At 48.8% G+C, this 16,885-nt stretch overlaps 4 annotated features.

Moving 5' to 3' along the window:
- Positions 7,343-7,392: a silencer, noted in NCBI's record as "silent region_12888". NCBI's record gives its function as "represses an Ori minimal core promoter by ATAC-STARR-seq in GM12878 lymphoblastoid cells {active_cell/tissue: GM12878}" and the evidence as "EXISTENCE:reporter gene assay evidence [ECO:0000049][PMID:35858748]".
- Positions 14,202-14,271: an enhancer, noted in NCBI's record as "active region_17832". NCBI's record gives its function as "activates an Ori minimal core promoter by ATAC-STARR-seq in GM12878 lymphoblastoid cells {active_cell/tissue: GM12878}" and the evidence as "EXISTENCE:reporter gene assay evidence [ECO:0000049][PMID:35858748]".
- Positions 15,785-16,332: an enhancer, noted in NCBI's record as "H3K27ac-H3K4me1 hESC enhancer chr20:35896827-35897374 (GRCh37/hg19 assembly coordinates)". NCBI's record gives its function as "activates a minimal SCP1, AML or CMV promoter by ChIP-STARR-seq in naive and primed H9 embryonic stem cells {active_cell/tissue: H9 hESC(naive and primed)}" and the evidence as "EXISTENCE:reporter gene assay evidence [ECO:0000049][PMID:30033119]".
- Positions 16,333-16,879: an enhancer, noted in NCBI's record as "H3K27ac-H3K4me1 hESC enhancer chr20:35896280-35896826 (GRCh37/hg19 assembly coordinates)". NCBI's record gives its function as "activates a minimal SCP1, AML or CMV promoter by ChIP-STARR-seq in naive and primed H9 embryonic stem cells {active_cell/tissue: H9 hESC(naive and primed)}" and the evidence as "EXISTENCE:reporter gene assay evidence [ECO:0000049][PMID:30033119]".

The raw sequence follows: 16,885 nt of genomic DNA, 5'->3' as shown, positions 1-16,885 counted from the left end.
CTTTTTTGTATGTTTTAATTTTTCGTTTTAAAATTTTGGGCCAGGCACAGTGGCTCACGCCTGTAATCCCAGCACTTTGGAAAGCCAAGGCAGGCAGATCACAAGGTCAGGAGTTCAAGACCAGCCTGGCCAACATGGTGAAACCCCGTCTCTACTAAAATACAAAAATTAGCTGGGTATGGTGGCATGTGCCTGTAATCCCAGCTACTCAGGAGGCTGAAACAGGAGAACTGTTTGAACTAGGGAGTCGGAGTTTGCAGTAAACCAATATTGCGCCACTGCACTCCAGCCTGGGTGACAGAGCAAGACTCCATCTCAAATAAAAATAAAAAAATAAAAAAAAACATTTTTTGAACAAAGAAACTATCTTGGAAGTGGATTCTCTAGACCCAGGCACCTCAGCAGACACCACATGGGGCAGAGATGGGCCCAGGAGATGGAGCCCTCCGAGAGAGAATATCAAGTTCATAGAATGGGAACCCAGCTAGTATTTGTCACTTGGGCTGCCCAGCATCTGAGACCCCATTTGTGGGAATCCCAAGAAGCAGGGAGATAATGGCAGACGAATGGGAGGGACACGCTCCCCTCAATTCCTGCTGGAGCATGGACACTGGACCTAACCATGACCAGCCAGAAGCCTGACTCCAGACTCCGAATCTGGAGGTAGAAAGGCCAGCTGGAAGGGTTGGTCAGAGACAGTGGTAAGTCCAGAGTCCAGGGCCTTGTTCAGAGCAGGTGGCTGTCAGTCCAAGATCTGATCATGCCTGACTTGGGTGGTTCCTGCCTGAGCCAGGTATCACAGTGTTCCCAGCAACTCCTTCTCACCTTACGCTCAGCTCCAGCATGAAGCCAAGAATGCTGAGTGCGGTGGATCCCACTGAGTCCAGAATGCAGGACCACAAGGAGAGGCCTCTCTTCTCCGGGCAGTGGGGACATTCTCCATGTGCCAGAAAGGTCAGCGATAAGTTCATCTTAGAGGCAACAGGGCCCAGGCAGCAGTGGAGACTCGCCACATTCTGGATTCTTTATTTGGGCCTCCAGGAGGCTCATAGCAGATAAGCAACTTCAGTTGTTCAAGGCCTGCTCTCCTCCTGCTTTCTACAAGGTGTGGACTCAGGGCTGGATTCCACACTCAGATATCTGTAAATCTACAGGGCTCAGGTCTGCTGCAAAGGAGGATAGGCTCACGTTGCCACCCTGGCCTCACTAGGGAGGGCATCAAACAGAATTTCCATCAGAAGAGGGATCACTTGCCAGAACTACACAGGGTCTACCCTTCCCAGGAAAATCAAACACCTTGATCTGTTCTTGAGACCCAAGATTTCCCATGGTTGTGAAACCTGAAAAGCTTCATTCAGCAGACACTTATTGAGCACTAACTGTATGTCAGAAAAATCCTAGGGACAATATCTTGGACTCCAGTTGGGGGAGATGGGCATAGAAACAAACTAAGATAATAGGATATTGTGAGAAGTGTGTGCGGTGCCAGGAAAACCCAGAACATCAGATTCTGTCTTGGTGATCAGGGAAGGCTTCCCAGAATAGGTGGCTTTCAGTCTCCAGCAGAAGGGTACAGCAGCAGCAAAGGCCAACGCCGGGACTTACACTCCCAGTGCACCCCAAAAAGAGACTCCAGAACTTCATCTCTCTAAAGCATTTCAGTCCCAGAGGCAGCACAAAGCTCACCCACATCCAGCATCTGGATGGCTTTAATTACCTCCACATTTACTAAGTGCCCCATTACACTTAGCTCTAACTGACAGCACAGTTGACACCCTGGGTTAAATTCACACTAAATATCCAATCATACACAGCACAAGCAGAATCACTTGTCCCGGGAAGGCACTTTTCCAGTTGAATAACGATGGTGCCTTTTAATTGTATGATGTTTTTCCTCTTGAGAGACTTTAAGCCAGACCAGCGCTCCCAGAGGGAGACAGAAACTGGGTGTCATCATCTCCATTTTGTAGTTGGATGAACTCAGGAAAGAAATCTGGCCCTGGCCACATAAGCTGGAATCTTACTCCTCCTTCAGGGCCCAGCTCAAATTACCTCCGCCTTGAAGATTCTTCGGTTCCTTCATCAGAATTTCCAGGCAGCATATGATGTTGGAAGAAGCTCTGGCTTAGGAAAAATGGCTGAGGCCTCACTGCACACAGACCCTGTGATGGATACCTGACCTGCGTTTGCTCACCTGATCCAGCAATCCCAAGGGAGCGTTTCCATGTCACACCTAAGGAAATGGAGGTATTGAGAAGCTGAATGATGGGTCTAGGATTACATAGTAATAACTGTTAAACCCAGGATTCAAAGCAAGATCTCTAAGCCCACTGTCTTAACCACGCACAATCCTGATCCATTCATTCATTCATTTAACAGGTATTTATTGAGCACCTGCTATATACTTAGTACTTTCTAGGAGTATAGTCCTTGCTAGGGATGAAGGAGTGAGGAAAACATAGTCCCTGCCCTAACAAAGGTTACTGTCTAGCAAGGAAGACAGATTTAAAATACTTCCATAAATGATTATTTAATTCCATATCAGGCAACGTTAGAAGAATTTAACTGAACTAGTTAAGACACTAGTGTGGCAGAAGAGGAAATCAGGTCGCTGGATGGCTCTGTGTTTTCTCTAATTCAGGGGTCAGTCATCTCTTCCTTTTTTCTTATATTCTGTAGCTAAGCAATGCCTGAAGATGCCAACGTTTGCTTTGGGAACTTTCACAGGTCATGTCCCTCTCTGAATCACAACTTTTCTAGCTGTTAAATGAGGATGAAAATAGCAGAAGACTAGGAGCAACCCAAATATTTATCAACAGGGGACTGCTTAAATGGTGATACATCTACACTATGGAACAGACTCTTAAAAACCATAAGGCGGCTGGGTGTGGTGGCTCACGCCTATAATCCCAACACTTTGGGATCTGCCCAAGGTGAGCAGATCACTTGATGTTGGGAGTTCGAGACCAGCCTGGCCAACATGGTGAAACCCCATCTCTACTAAAAATACAAAATTAGTGCTCACCTGTGATCCCAGCTACTCAGGAGGCTGAGGCATGAGAATCACTTGAACCTAGGAGGCAGAGTTTGCTGTGAGCCAAGATCACACCACTGCACTCCAGCCTGGACAACAGAGTGAGAGTCTGTCTCAAATTTTTAAAAAATTAAATTAAAAAATAAAAAGCATAAGGCAACTCTAAACGCTGGAGAAGGATCCCTAAGACAGACTGCGTGAAGGAAGCAAGGTACTGAGCAGTGGGGATGGAACCTGCCATATGTGTAAATAACAAAGGTGAAAGGTTTAAAAAAAAACCTTTTATATGTGTAGGCTGTCTCAGCAAGTCGGTAAGGAAGCACAAGAAACAGATCACGGGACCCCGCCCCCCACCCCGGCCCAGGGAGGAGACCTGGACACAGAGTCATTCAGAGACTCACTCTGAACATGCACCATTTTGTACCTTTTGAATTTTGCCTTCTGTGCGTGTTCCTTCTCAAAACAATCAATTCAAGAAAATTTTAATACAACACTTCGATGATGATAAAAATGCAGTCAGGTCCTGGCGAGGTGGCTCACACCTGTAATCCCAGCACTTTGGGATGCCAAAGAGGGTGGATCACCTGAGGTCAGGAGTTCGAGACTAGCCTGACCAACATGGTGAGACTCTTCTAAAAACGCAAAATTAGCTGGGCATGGTGGCGCATGCCTGTAATCCCAGCTACTCGAGAGGCTGAGGCAGGAGAAGCGCTTGAACCCGGGAAGCGGAGGTTGCAGTGAGCCGAGACGGCGCCATTGCAGTCCAGCCTGGGCAACAAGAACAAAATTCCATCTAAAAACAAACAAACAAATGAACAAAAAAAACGCAGCAAAATAGCCCTGCTCATATCAGCTACCTCTTGGGGTTATTGTTAGTTTCAAAGGAGAGGTCAGATGTGGCAGCCTCTTGGAAAATCTAAAACAATTATTCTTTGCTCCTAATGAGGTGAGAGAGGAATAAGGGTCCAAACCGAAAACAGGAGAAAAAAGGGGGAAAAGACAAGAGAAACAAAGAAGCTGTTCATACGCAGAACAGCCCACAGAGCAAAAATCCACGATTACTTTAGTGCCACTGAGACCCCAAGGCAGTTGTGCTACCTGCTTCTGTCTAGTCAGGTGCCAGGTTGCCATGGTAATGTAATAACTCCGTGATAAGCTTATTTTTTATTCTGAAAACATTGTTTTAAAAAGCCAGTAGCTGCAGATGGGCAACAGCGAGCAAAGAATGTGCTATGTGAGAGGCAGGAGCCGCGTGAACCCCCCACCCCCGCCCTGAAAACTGCCAGGGTTGGCCTAAAGCAAAAGGTTGCAAACCTGAGCACGCATCTGAACCTCCTGAAGGGCTGATTAAAACATAGATGGTTGTGCCCTACCCTAATCAGTTCCTGATTCAATAGAGCTGGGGTGGGGTACGTCTACCAAGTGCCCGGGAGGTGCAGATGGTGCTGACTGGGGACCACATTTGGAAAACCACTGTCCTATCTGATCTCTAAAAGCCTGTCCAACTCAGGATTCTGTGGGCTGTGGGCCCCAGCTCTTACTTGCCCTGAGGACATCATGCCCTCCACTGGCCCCCTATGTAAACTAAGAGCTACGACATCCTAACAGGAGAGCACAACGTGGGCGGTAAGGTAGGCCAAAGCACCTGGTGGGCCAAGGGGACAGAGGGCAGTTTCCAAGGCTGAGGCCAGTGCCTCACAAAGGCAACTGCCTGGGAAGATTGGCCAGCCTTTCAGCTGCCTTTGCCAGAACTCTCTCATGGGGCCAGTTAACTGGGTGTGATGGCCAACAGGTGCCACCGAGCCAGAGGAGAGGTGGCTGCCAGTCAAGGATGTAGTTCCGGGCCAGGCACGGTGGCTCACGCCTGTAATCCTAGCACTTCGGGAGGCTGGGGCAGGCAGATCACTTGAGGTCAGGAGTTCTTGACCAGCCTGGCCAACACGATGAAACCCTATCACTACTAAAAATGCAAAAATTAGCTGGGGGTGGTGGTGCATGCCTGTAATTCCAGCTACTCAGGAGGCTGAGGCAGGAGAATCACTTAAACCCAGGAGGCAGAGGTTGCAGTGACCCAAGATCACGCCACTGTACTCCAGCCTGGGGGACAAGAGCGAAACTCCATCTCAAAAAAAAAAAAAAAAAAAAAAAAGGAATGTAGCTCGGCAAGGGTCAGAGCTGGCTGGAGAGGATTTAACAGAAATGACAGAAGCCAAAGCCACATCTTCAGGCACTGATTTACCTTGATGGGATCCTGATTCCCCACCGAGAGATGGGCGGGACAAGTCTCAACACCCAGCCCCATCCAACACGTGCAGCAGGCTGAGTGAGAAAGCTGGCCGCGGGGCAAGAACACCATATTAATGGCAAGCCCTTGGAATTCAGGAATTCTTGTACGTTCAACAAATATTTCGAGTCCCAGCTATGCACCAGGCACTATGCTAGGTGACACATACGTGGGTGAAAAAGCAAGATACCGCCGCACCCTCATGGAACCTACATTTAAGTCAAAACAGATGTTATTCCATTAATCAGATCATTTATACAACTGTGGCTGTGTAAGTGAAGATCTTATTTAGGGGTAAAGGGGCAAGATATCTGCAAATTATGCTTAAGAGGTTCAGAAAAAACAATCATATATTATATGTATATAGGTATGATTACATATAATCTATACGTATACATATAAAGAGACAGGGAGAGAGAATCACAAAGGAAATGTGACAAAATGTTAACAATTGTTGAGTCTGGGAGTTTTTACAATTTTTTGTGTTTTTTTTTTTTTTGAGACAGAGTTTCACTCTGTCGACCAGGCTGGAGTGCAGTGGTGCAATCTCGGCTCACTGCAACCTCCACCTCCTGGGCTCAAGAGACCCTCCCGCCTCAGCATCTCAAGTCTCTGGGACTACAGGTGTGCACCACCATGCCTAGTTAATTTTTTGTACTTTTTTGTAGAGATGGGGTTTTACCATGTTGGCCAGGCTGGTCTTGAACTCCTGGGCTCAAGTGATCTACCCACCTTGGCCCCCCAAAGTGCTGGGCTTAGAAGAGTGAGCCACCGCACCCAGCCAGGAGTTCTTTTTATTTTTATTTAATTTTAAAAATTAAATAAAATTTAATTTAATTAAGTTAAAGATAATTTAAGCCAGGCACGATTGCTCACACCTGTAATCCCAGCACTTTGGGAAGCCAAGGCAGGTGGATTGCTGGAGCCCAGAAGTTCGAGACTAGCTTGGGCCACATGGTGAAACTCCTTCTCTACAAAAAATATGCAAAAAATTGCTAGGCGCGGTGGCTCATGTCTGTAATCCCAGCACTTTGGGAGGCCGAAGCGGGAGGATCACGAGGTCAGGAGATTGAGACCATCCTGGCTAAAACGGTGAAACCCCGTCTCTACTAAAAATACAAAAAATTAGCCGGGCATGGTGGCGGATGCTTGTAGTCCCAGCTACTCAGGAGGCTGAGGCAGGAGAATGGAGTGAACACGGGAGGCAGAGCTTGCAGTCAGCCGAGATCACGCCACTGCACTCCAGCCTGGGCAACAGAGCGAGACTCCATCTCAAAAAAAAAAAAATATATATATATATATAAAATTAACCGGGTATGGTGGTGCATGCCTGGAGTTCCAGCCACTCAGGAGACTGAGGTGGGAGAAGCACCTGAACCCTGGAAGTTGAGGCTGCAAAGCCGAGATTGTGCCACTGCACCCCAGCCTGGGTGTCGGAGTGAGACTGTATCTCCATAAATAAATAAATAAAATTCATTTAATTTAAATTATTTAATTTTTGAAATATTATTTTTTTAGAACCAGGGTCTCGCTGTGTTGTGCAGGCTGGAATGCTGCGGCAGTCATAGCTCACTGCAGCCTTGAACTCCTAGGTCAAGCAGTCCTCCCACCTTAACCATCAAGTAGCTGGGACTACAGGCTCGTGCCATCACAGCCAGCTAATTTGCTTGCTTTGTTTTTTGTAAAGATGAGGTCTCGCTATGTTGCCCAGGCTGGTCTTGAACTCCTGGGCTCAAGCGATCCACCCACCCGGGCTTCCCAAAGTGCTGGGATTACAGGCGTGAGCCACCGCACCTGGCCTATAGAGGTTTTTGTATTATTCTTGCAACTTTTCTAAAAGCTCAATGTTGTTTCAAAATTAGACATTTTTTTAGAAACATGTAAATCACATAATACACATAAATTCATTAAATACATTAAAGAATGATAAAATCACATAAATACATTAAGAATGATAACAGTGAGGAGCACTATTTTTTAAAAGTGACTAATGACGTAAGAACTTAAAATGGAGTGGTTTGTCTTATCAGAAGGCCAAGGAGGGCTTCCTGGAGGCAACACATTTAAGCTAAGGTCTGAGTGGAAGTTGATCGGGGGAAAGAGCTGCCTTCCAGGGAGAGGACACAGCAGAGGCCATGCAGCAAGAAAGAACAGAGCACCTTGGAGGAACTGAAAAAAGAAATCAGAGCAGCTGGAGCCAAGAGCCACACAGCCCCTCCTTCCTCACGTGATGATGAGCCGGACAGAGGGCAAGGTGTCAGGAAAGGGCTTCTCTTCTGGCCCAGGATGGGGTCTGTTTTGTTTTTCCTCTGCCCTTTCGGGTTCAAGTTCTTCTGCAACTTCCTCTGGCTCCCCTCCAATCTCAAGTTCTTCAGACTCTGCTCAAATGCAGTTCCCCAGGTCAAGGTCCCAGAATCCCAGCAACATATGGCAACTGGACCTGCCGGCTTTCACAGCCCCCTCCCCTTTAGCTCCATCTCAGCCCCACATCCCTGGTCCCCATCCGTCAACCCCTTTACCTGCCATTAAAATGAAACAAAACAACAAAAAAAAACACATTGGGCTGTTGTTTCAACTTATTTCTTCAATTTGCTTCCTGAGCCTCAGGCAGCTGGCTCCATCTGTGGACGGCTCTGTGCAGTTTCCACGTGCTCTCCGTCTACCATCCATTTCCAGAGAGCTCACGTAGTGCTGCGTTTCAGATTTCCTCTGGGGCGTCAGCCAAGAGCAACGCTGGGTGATTTTGTAGCATGAACCTGCATCATCAACACATGGCATCCTTCACCGAGGTTAGCCAAGTATTCTTTTTTTTGTTTGTTTGTTTTAAGACAGAGTCTCACCTGTTGCCCAGGCTGGAGTGTAGTGGTGTGATCTCGGCTCACTGCAACCTCTGCCTCCTGGGTTCAAGCGATTCTCCTGCCTCAGCCTCCCTAGTAGCTGGGATTACAGGCACGCGCCACCACACCCTGCTAATTTTTGTATTTTTAGTAGAGACGAGGTTTTGCCATGTTGGCCAGGTTGGTCTTGAACTCCTGATCTCAAGTGATCCACCCGCCTCGGCCTCCCAAAGTGCTGGGATTGCAGGGCACGAGCCACCGCTCCCGGCCTATCCAAGCATTTTGCAGATGCAGTGTAACATTGAGCCAAATCCTAGTAACGCTTTCTAAACCCCAGGAAGTAAGCACTGTTTCACTAGGTATTCACTGAATCAGAGAACTCGACTCTTAAAGGAAATGATGAGGTCTTATGGTCTAATACCCTCACTTTACAGACAGCTCAGGTAAGTCAAGGAATTTGCCCAAGGTCACAGAGCAATTTCATGGAGGAGCTGGACCAATATATATATTTTTTTTTTTAAGAAAAAGTCTCACTTTGTTGCCCAGGCTGGAGTGCAGTGGCACGATCTCAGCTCAATGCAAACTCCACCTCCACGGCTCAAGCAATTCTCGTGCCTTGGTCCCCCAAGTAGCTGGGATTACAGTGCTTGCCAACATGCCTGGCTAATTTTTGTATTTTTAGTAGAGACCACACCTGGCTAATTTATTTTTTTTTTCTTTTGAAATGGAGTCTTGCTCTTGTCACCCAGGCTGGAGTACAGTGGCACGATCTCGGCTTACTGCAGCCTCCACCTCCCAGGTTCAAGCTATTCTCCTGCCTCAGCCTCCTGAGTAGCTGGGATTACAGGCGCACGCCACCACGCCCTGCTAATTTTTGTACTTGTAGTAGATACGGGGTTTCGCCATGTTGGCCAGGCTGGTCTCAAACTCTTGACCTCAGGTGATCCGCCTGCCTCGGCCTCCCAAAGTGCTGGGATTAAAGGCATGAGCCACCGGCTAATTTTTGTATTTTTAGTAGAGACGGGGTTTCACCAGTCTGAGTCTCAAACTTCTGACCTCAAGTGATCCACCTGCGTCGGCCCCCCAAAGTGCTGGGATTACAGATGTAAGCCACTGCACCTGGTCTAGAAATCTGATTTCTTGATGCCTAGTAGAAGGTCAGTGTCCACAATAACCAGTTAATAATCAATGGACATGACCTCTCAGGAAGCTGGGATTCTGAATAGCAGCAACTGAAGAGCCTTTATCTAAGAAGTGAGCAGTTTGCACAGCCTTGTGGGAAATAAACCCCATGCCTCTATCTCATTGCATTTAGCAATACTGTATTTGTTGTGTTATTTTTATCCATTTGGTTTCACTCTAGCCCGGGTTCCTATTTCTCATTTATGACTAAAGACCCTCGCATGAGGAAAGGGGAAGTCAGAAAGAAAGAAGAGTCTTGTCTTTTGTACTCTGTAAACCTTTCCAGTCTTTTTTTTCTTCCTTTATAACATTTCCTTTCCAGAGCCAGACAAGCTTCTCAAATCTCCTGCATTTCCAACCCCCTGTTCGCCTTGGCTGTAATTATCTTGGGAAAATTTAAATTCCTTATCATGGCTTTGTGACAGTGCTGGCTCAAGATATACAAGCCCACTTCCATTCTGAGGTCTTGTCAGATTGTCCTCGATAGGTTTCCTTAATAGGAATTATTGTTAGATTTTTTTTTTAAAGTGTGATAATGGGATTGTGACTATGTCTAAAAAAGAGCCTTATCTTTCTGAGATACATACTGAAATATTTATCGATGAAATAATATGAAGTCTGTGGTTTTCTTCAATATATTCTAGTGGGAGAAGGAATGAAAAATAGGCTCACTTAATATGCTGGTCTCCCCTGCCTCTGTCCTGCAAGTTATTCTTTTTTTGTTTTTTTAGATGGAGTATCGCTCTGTCCCCCAGGCTGGAGTGCAATGACATGATCTCAGCTCACTGCAACCTGCCTCCCGGATTCAGGTGATTCTCCGGCCTCAGCCTCCCGAGTACCTGGGATTATAGGTGCCTGCCACCACACCCGGGTAATTTTTGTATTTTTAGTAGAGATGGGGTTTCACTACTTTGGCCAGGCTGGTCTCAAACTCCTGACCTCAGGAGATCCACCTGTCTCAGCCTCCCAAAGTGCTGGGATTGCAGGCGTGAGCCACCGCGCCTGGCCTCCTGCAAGTTCTTTTTGCTGCATCTTCCTCACCTCCACCCATTCACCCCCAATCTTTGAATCTGTTTATTTTGTGTCTGGGGACAGGATTTGCCTTTGGGAGACTCAGCCAAGAGAGTATGGGCACTGGAGCCAAAGAGACTTAGGTTCAAAACTCCAGCCTTACCCTGCTAAGCATAGTGGCCATGGACAAGTTATTTAATTGTCTGAGTCCCAGTTTCCCCATCTGCAAAGTGGAGATAATAAATTAAAAAACAACCAAACAGCTACTTTTCTAGTGTGTTCTTCTTGCCTCTTTCCTTCTCCTTTCCCTCCCCTCCCCTCCCCTCCTCTCCCCTCCCCTCCCCTTCTCTTCGCTTCTGCTTTTGACATGGGGAGTGGGTGTCTTGCTTTGTTGCCCAGGTTGGTCTCAAACTCCTGGCCTCAAGCAATCCCACCTTGGCCACCCAAAGTGCTGGGCTTACAGGTGTGGCCCAGCACACCTGGCCTCTTTTTCTAATTCTGCCTCCACGTGCCCTGAAGATTCGTAAGCAGTCTACAGTCTTCTAATACCTCTTTGCTCTTCAAAGTCTCAGCCAGACGTGGTGGCTTATGCCTGTAATCCCAGCATTCTGGGAGGCCGAGGCTGGCAGATCACCTGAGGTTGGGAGTTTGAGACCAGTCTGACCAACATGGAGAAACCCTGTCTCTACTAAAAATACAAAATTAGCCAGGTATGGTGGCGCATGCCTGTAATCCCAGCTACTTGGGAGGCTGAGGCAGGAGAATCGCTTGATCCCAGGAGGCAGAGGTTGCGGTGAGCCAAGATTGCACCATTGCACTTCAGCCTGGGCAACAAGAGCAAAACTCCCTCTCAAAAAAAAAAAAAAAAAAAAAAAAAAAAAAGCTCTCCCCTCAACTTCAACCACCTTCTCCAAGCTTCGGACAAGATCCAATACCTGTTACCCACATCCTCCTGGAGGTCACATGAGTGAAAAACTCAACTCATGCAAATTGGCTCTATTGTTCCTCCCCTCAACCCACTGCCCTGGTGCATCCTGATCAGCCCTTGAGGCCCCCCAGCCCATTCTCAACAACCTCTCCTTCACCTTCCTCATCCATCTACTGCAGGCCTGCGCCCCATTTTTCAGAGCCCTCTCAAATCCAGCGCCCCCACTCCCATGCTCCTTGCCCACCGCCCCCCCAAACCCCCAGCTCAGGCCTCCAGGATGGCTGGCCTGGACAGCTGTGAAAGCTTCCTCACTGGGCTTCTTCTCTCTAGCCTCTCGGGTCTCTGTTCCTCCCACCAGGCTGCTGGCAACATTTTCCTTCCAAAACCACCACTCCAGGGCTTGAAAGCCTCCAATGGACTCTCTCCATTGAGAACAAGACAGGTCCAAATTCCTTAGCATGGCATTTAACACCCTGCACAGCTTGGCCCTAATGCATTGTTCCAGATTCATCCACATTTCTTGCCGCTGAAGCCACAGGCCCGAGTTTCCCAGTCTGTGGGACCTCGCACCTGTACCAGAATCACTTGAGGCCCTAGTTAAAAATTCAGAACCCTGGGCCCTACCCTGGACAACTGAATCTGGGGTCCAGGTCCGAAGCCCAGAAAGATGTGAGGACCCTCACTCCAGCCACACCAAATAATTTGTTGTTCACTAACCAGGCCTCCAAGCCTTTGCTCAGGCTGGATTAATTTTTCCTCTTTCTTCAAGATCCAGCTTAAAAGTCACATCCTGGCCGGGCACAGTGACTCACGTCTATAATCCCGGCACTTTGGGTGGCTGAGGCAGGTGGATTGCTTGACCCCACAGGTTCTAGACCAGCCTGGGCAACATGGAGGAACCCCGTTTCTGCAAAAAATACAAAAGTAGCCTGGCATGGTGGCACGTGCCTGTAGCCCCAGCTACTCAGGAGGCTGAGGTGGGGGAATCACCCAAGCCCAGGAGGCAGAGGTTGCAGTGAGCCCAGATCATGCCACTGCACTCCAGCCTGGGTGACAGAGTGAGACCTTGTTTCCAAAAAAAAGGAGCCAGACGAGGTGGCTCACACCTGTAATCCCAACACTTTGGGAGGCTGAGGGGGGTGGATTATTTGAGGTCAGGCATTCAAGACCAGCCTGGCCAACATGGTGAAACCCCATCTCTGCTAAAAATACAAAAATTAGCCGGGCGGTAGTGACGCGCACCTGTAATCCACTACTCCGGAGGCTGAGGCAGGAGAATCGCTTGAGCCCGGGAGGCGGAGCTTGCAGTGAGCCAAGATCGTGCCACTGCACTCCAGTCTGTGCGACAGAGTGAGAGCTTGTGCCCCCCTCCCAAAAAAAAGTTACATCCTAGGCAAAGCCTTTCCTGCTCCTTAGCAGGGTGAAGGCCACACCCACTCTGCTCCCACAGCTCCTTGTATGCACCTCGATTATAGACTGTGTATATCACACTGTGTAATTATCTGTTTGCCCACTTGTCTAGCTAGGATGAAAATTGCACCAAAGCAAGTCCACAGAATGCCTGGAGCCCCCAACTCGGTGAATGGCACATAGCGGCACTTGATAAATATCAGTTCATTTGAATTGTGCTTTACACTTCCTTGGCTCCTGGACACCAAACACAGCACTTAGCACCTGATGGGTATTATTACATCGATATCTGATGGATAAATTATCAAAGGATGGAAGGAGGCAGGAATAAAAGACAAAATATGCCAATAAATTAATGATGACTTTTCATCATCAATTAATATCCTGGAATGTTTGTGCATGCCTGGGACCATCTCTCACCTGAAGGACGTGGCAATTGGGTCAGAGATCAGATGGATCCTGGGACTTCTGGCTCCAAGTTCACGGGTGAAATCAGCAGACCAAAGTTCTGATGTTAATCAGAAATGTCACTATCACCATGACAAGTGCAAATGTAAAGTGCAGTGCCATCTTCCATTGCAGTGTCCTCACTTGTCACCTTTATCACTCCACCTCGCAGGACCCACATGGACCCTGCTGATACCAATCCATGGGAAATCAAGCTGGCAGAAATTAGCCCTGGGCTGCTGAGGCAGGGTCAGGGATAGCACTGTTCCGGGGCAGGCGAGCTTGTCTGGAGGCAGGCAAGCCCCACTCCTAACCCCGGCCTCTCCATGTACCGTCTGTATGAGATTGGACGAGTTACCCAATATCTCCAAGACTCAGCTTCTTCCACCATGAAATGAGAGCACTATGTGTTCCTAAGGCTCAAGGTTGTTGAATGAGATGAGATCACGTATGTTACGTGACTGGCATGTAGATGTTACTGCTAGACTGCGGAAATCCAGGACAGCTAGACTCCGTGAGTCATTGGGTGGTGGTGACTGGGGCTGACCCCAGGGGGACAGGAGCTAGGCAGGGAGCCAGGTCTCACTCAGCCATGGATTCCAGGTTCTGGGCCTTAGAAGAGGTTCCAGCTTCAACAGGGCCCAGCCACTGGGGAGTCAGGAGCTGGGGGCCTGGGTGTGGAGGCTGCTCTTCCTTCTGCTCTGTGGCCTGGGTGTTCAGGGACTAAACCAGGCAGGGTGGGAAAGGCCCAGAGAGTGGGAGCTCCAGACCCTAGAGGGAAACCCCAATGACTCTGCTTCTAGTCTGGAGTGAGGGCCGTTTGGCCCTGACTCAAACCTGAGTTTGCTGCAGTCGAGGCTATTAGGGTTCCTTTAACTGCACTGTAACCACAGAGGGGAAGTAAGACCGTGAGATAACCTGGCTCTGACATGGGAAGTAGAAACTGGAAGCTGAAGTCCCAAGCAGGCCTTGACTTTTGCCTGTGGACACTCAAATCATGGGAATTCTTCTCACTGTGTCTGCAGGTCCTGTTGTCACTAAGATCCCCCAACTCAGAGATTCCAAGCGAGGGCGGTCCTCCCTGTAGACACCCCCTCCTTGCTGGTCTGAGCTCTTCTTGCCTGATGAGCCAGGCTGAGGGAGACTCTGTAGGATGCACTTCCTTTTTTTTTTTTTTTTGAGACAGAGTCTTGCTCTGTTGTCCTAACTGGAGTGCAGTGGCATGATCTCGGCTTACTGCAAACTCCGCCTCCCAAGTTCAAGTGATTCTTCTGCTTTAGCCTCCCACGTAGCTGGGATTACAGGCGCATGCCACCAAGCTCAGCTAATTTTTGTATTTTTCGTAGAGATGGGGTTTCACCATGTCGCCGAGGTCGGTCTTGAACTCCTGGCCTCAAGTGATCCACCCACCTCAACCTCCCAAAGTGCTGGTATTATAGGCATGAGCCATTGCGCCTGGCCAGATGCCCTTTCTCCTGTGGGCTTTCTCCTGAGATCCTGGGGCAGGGCTGGGCTTGGGGCAGGGCTGGGCTTGGGGATCACACAGTCTTCCCTATCTGGAAACATAGCTGAGAACCCAGGGCAGCAACGGTCAGGGAAAGATGGGAGGAGGCGCAGGTTGAGTGGCCGATGAAAAGGTGGCATGACAAACTTGACCTGACCCTTTCGTAGTCCTGGGATTTCACAGCGAACAAAGCCCCACAGGCGGGGCCTCTGGCATTTGGTAGCAAAACCTGACAACTCCAATGACTGGGGAACAGCGACATCTCCCGGCTGTCTGAGGCCATGGCCCTCCTACCTGATCAGAATCCCGGGCATTTAGACACCAGGGTGCCTAATGCCTTTAGAATCCTCACAGATTTTAGCCTTTGATTCAATTGGTCCAGAGTGGAGCCTGACATTCTGCATTCCTAACAAGCCCCCAGGTGCTGTCAATACTGCTGGTCTATGGACCACACTTTGATTAGAAAGCTTTAGAGGGCTCAAAGATTTGGTCCCAGGCATCCCAAGGGTCTCAGGAAAGGAGACAATTTTCTGCATATAAAATTATAAAATCACTCAACCACAGGCAAGGCCAGGGAGGGAGGATGCTTCTTGAAGAGATGGCCTCCAAGGGGGCTTTTGAAGTATGGTCATATCTTCACCAGGGAAAGGTTACCCGAGGATCAGCTGGGGACAGCCTCCTATGCAGCAGGCGTGGCACCTGCACCAAGTCTACCAACTCAAAAAACAACCTGGTTAGTGTGCCTAATTGACTTGTGGCAGGCCCAAAGATTCCAAGCAAGGTGAATGTTTAAAATACTCATGGGCCAGGTGCAGTGGCTCACGCCTGTAATCCCAGCGCTTTGGGAGGCCGAGGCAGGCAAATCACTTGAGGTCAGGAGTTCAAGACCAGCCTGGCCAACATGGTGAAACCCTGTCTCTACTAAAAATACAAAAATTAGCTGGGCATGGTGGCTTGTGCCCATAGTCTCAGCTACTTGGGAGGCTGAGGCAGGATAATTGCTTGAACCTGGAAGGCGGAGGTTACAGTGGGCAGAGATCGCGCCACTGCACTCCAGCCTGGGTGACAGAACGAGACTGTCTTAAAAAAAAAAAAAATTAGTGCCGGGTGCGGTGGCTCACGCCTGTAATCCCAGCACTTTGGGAGGCTGAGGTGGGTGGATCACCTGAGGTTGGGAGTTCGAGACCAGCCTGGCCAACATGGTGAAATCCCATCTCTACTAAAAACACAAAATTAGTCTGGCATGGTGGTGCACGCCTGCAATCCCAGCTACTGGGGAGGCTGAGGCAGGAGAATCGCTTGAACTCGGGAGGTGGAGGTTGCTGTGAGCTGAGATCATGCCATTGCACTCCAGCCTGGGCAACAAGAGCTAAACTCCATCTCAAAAGAAAAAAAAAATTAAAATACTCGTGGGAGTAACATTTCCAAGGAACCCAGAGTTGCTTCATTGATTTGCTAAGTACAATCAACCTCATCTCTTCATTAAAAGAGCTCTTCTAATGACTTTCCCAGATGCAGACTTTTTGAGAAAGAAATGAAGCTCTGAGCTGCCATCCAATCACAGGCCCTTCTGTTTGGGTAGGACCCTGTGAAGCAGGGGAAAGGACCACATCATCTCCATTTTACAGAAGAGGAAACTGACACTCAGGGAGGTTAAGTGACTTTGCCTGAAGCCACCTAGCAAGCCCACACCACTTAAACCTGGTCTCCTCTGACACAGTACCCTGGAGCACTCAGACACCTGCTGCTGCTGATGCCACAAAAACAGGCCTAGAAGGGCAAGTGGGGAGGGTCAAGAGAATCTGGGAGTCTGGGGTCCAGGCCTCTGGATCCTTGCACAGTGGCCTTGGACTGGGAACACTGCCATCAACCAGGGAGGGGGATGAAAGCAGCTTTTACAAAGCAGGGTCTGAGGTCCTCAGACAGGCCCCCTTTGTGGACTTCCTTTCCCTCCCCACCCCCATGCCGGCTGCCAGTAGCATCGCCCTCATTGAATGGCTGGCTTGCACACACTGGAAATTTGCAACACAAATGCACGGCTTGTCTCCCTCTCCACAGAGCCTCACTGCCCCAGCCTTTTGGGGCCTTTTAAAGTCTGCCTTTCTCTGGGGTACTTTCTTTCTTCAGCTCAAGCCCCCAGCCCTAGATGCAGCCACAATCACTAATTAACGCTGGGTTAAAACACGTCCTGGGAAAGTGAGCTGGGCGGCCACCGAGGCGTTCTCATCATCACTCAGAGGACAAGGAC

Source organism: Homo sapiens, chromosome 20 (assembly GCF_000001405.40).
Source record: "Homo sapiens chromosome 20, GRCh38.p14 Primary Assembly".
NCBI lineage: Eukaryota > Metazoa > Chordata > Mammalia > Primates > Hominidae > Homo > Homo sapiens.
The sequence above is the reverse complement of the archived record's forward strand: the minus strand, read 5'-3'. Positions and strand labels throughout refer to the sequence as shown.